The sequence below is a fragment of the Homo sapiens genome, chromosome X (genome assembly GCF_000001405.40).
Source record: "Homo sapiens chromosome X, GRCh38.p14 Primary Assembly".
Lineage (NCBI taxonomy): Eukaryota > Metazoa > Chordata > Mammalia > Primates > Hominidae > Homo > Homo sapiens.
In genome coordinates, this window is record NC_000023.11 from 3,177,076 (window position 1) to 3,178,303 (window position 1,228).

The window sequence follows — 1,228 nt, forward strand, 5'->3', positions numbered from 1 at the left end:
GGTTTTGCATGGAGCTGAAATCAAAATTTGTTTTTAACCAAATTGTCGTTCTTCACAGAATGTCAATGCAATAATACCTTCAGGCTCTTGGAGAAGATATAGTTTACAAAGGGCCATTTTTGTATATGGGATCTTCTCCTATACATCTTCAACAGCTTGAGTTGAGCCACTGCATGCAAACTGATGACCTTGCTAATGACGCTGGTTGGTTCTACTACTTCACTGATCCCCTTTGTCTTGGTGAATGAATGAAGGGGTTTAAGATAAGACCACTGGCCAATCCTGTAGCTGACTTACAAACACCTGGAAAAGTGGTGAGATGGGATCAGTTATCACTGGATAAGCTTCATACAGAACCTTAGAGAAAATGTCCTAAAATCTTTTTAATCCAGAAAATCACGTTTTTACTGTTAGATTATGTTTTTGTTTAATCCAGAGAATTATATTTTAGGTTAACTGTACACATTCTATTTACCTGTACTGAGTAGGGTCAAAATTATGTTTTTAGTTTGTTGAATTCCATGATACTTCCTCATGCTGAATTCATTGAATTGCATGCAAAAGATTCTGAATGACAACCAAAATGTCAGCTATATGTTTATTCAAATTCATTTGTAATGTTAATTCAGTAAACCTTTTAACTGCTAGGCATCAACCTAAGGCAATCGTCTTCTCCAATTAAGAAGTATATATGCAAAGCTACATTATAATTAGGGAGAGAATTTTTGAGTTTACAGAGTCATAAAACATAAGTGGATTGGGAGATAATTTTTGAGTTTACAGAGTCATAAAACTTAAGTGAACTGAATGTTTCCTGACTCAAATGGATTTAAGAGTTCTTTTCTATAAAAAGAGGCGCATGTCCTTGGAAATACAGTCTTCTCTCAGCTGAGTAGGGTGTTTTCTCCTCTAACTCCTATAACCAATAGATATGGCAGCTTGGACTTAGGTCTTTTATTTGCTTTGTTTCATTTCATTAGATGCTTGTGTGACACACTGCACGTATCTGGATATGTTCACACCTCCATTCAAGTCAGCATTTGTTGTATGAGTCACTGTCTTTACTTAAGGCAACGATCACTATCTCTTTCGGTACTGAATATATTATATTTTGGTTTACATTTTCCCTTTTGCAATTCCTCATTTTCAAGTTTTACATGTAGGCTGCCCATGGTCTCAAAAAAAGCAAATAACTACATAAATGCTCTGTCTTATTCTCAGTAATGAC

At 35.3% G+C, this 1,228-nt stretch overlaps 1 annotated feature.

The window, feature by feature from the left end:
- Positions 759-959: a silencer, noted in NCBI's record as "peak7351 fragment used in MPRA reporter construct". NCBI's record gives its function as "represses an SCP1 promoter by STARR-seq MPRAs in K562 erythroleukemia cells {active_cell/tissue: K562}" and the evidence as "EXISTENCE:reporter gene assay evidence [ECO:0000049][PMID:32103011]".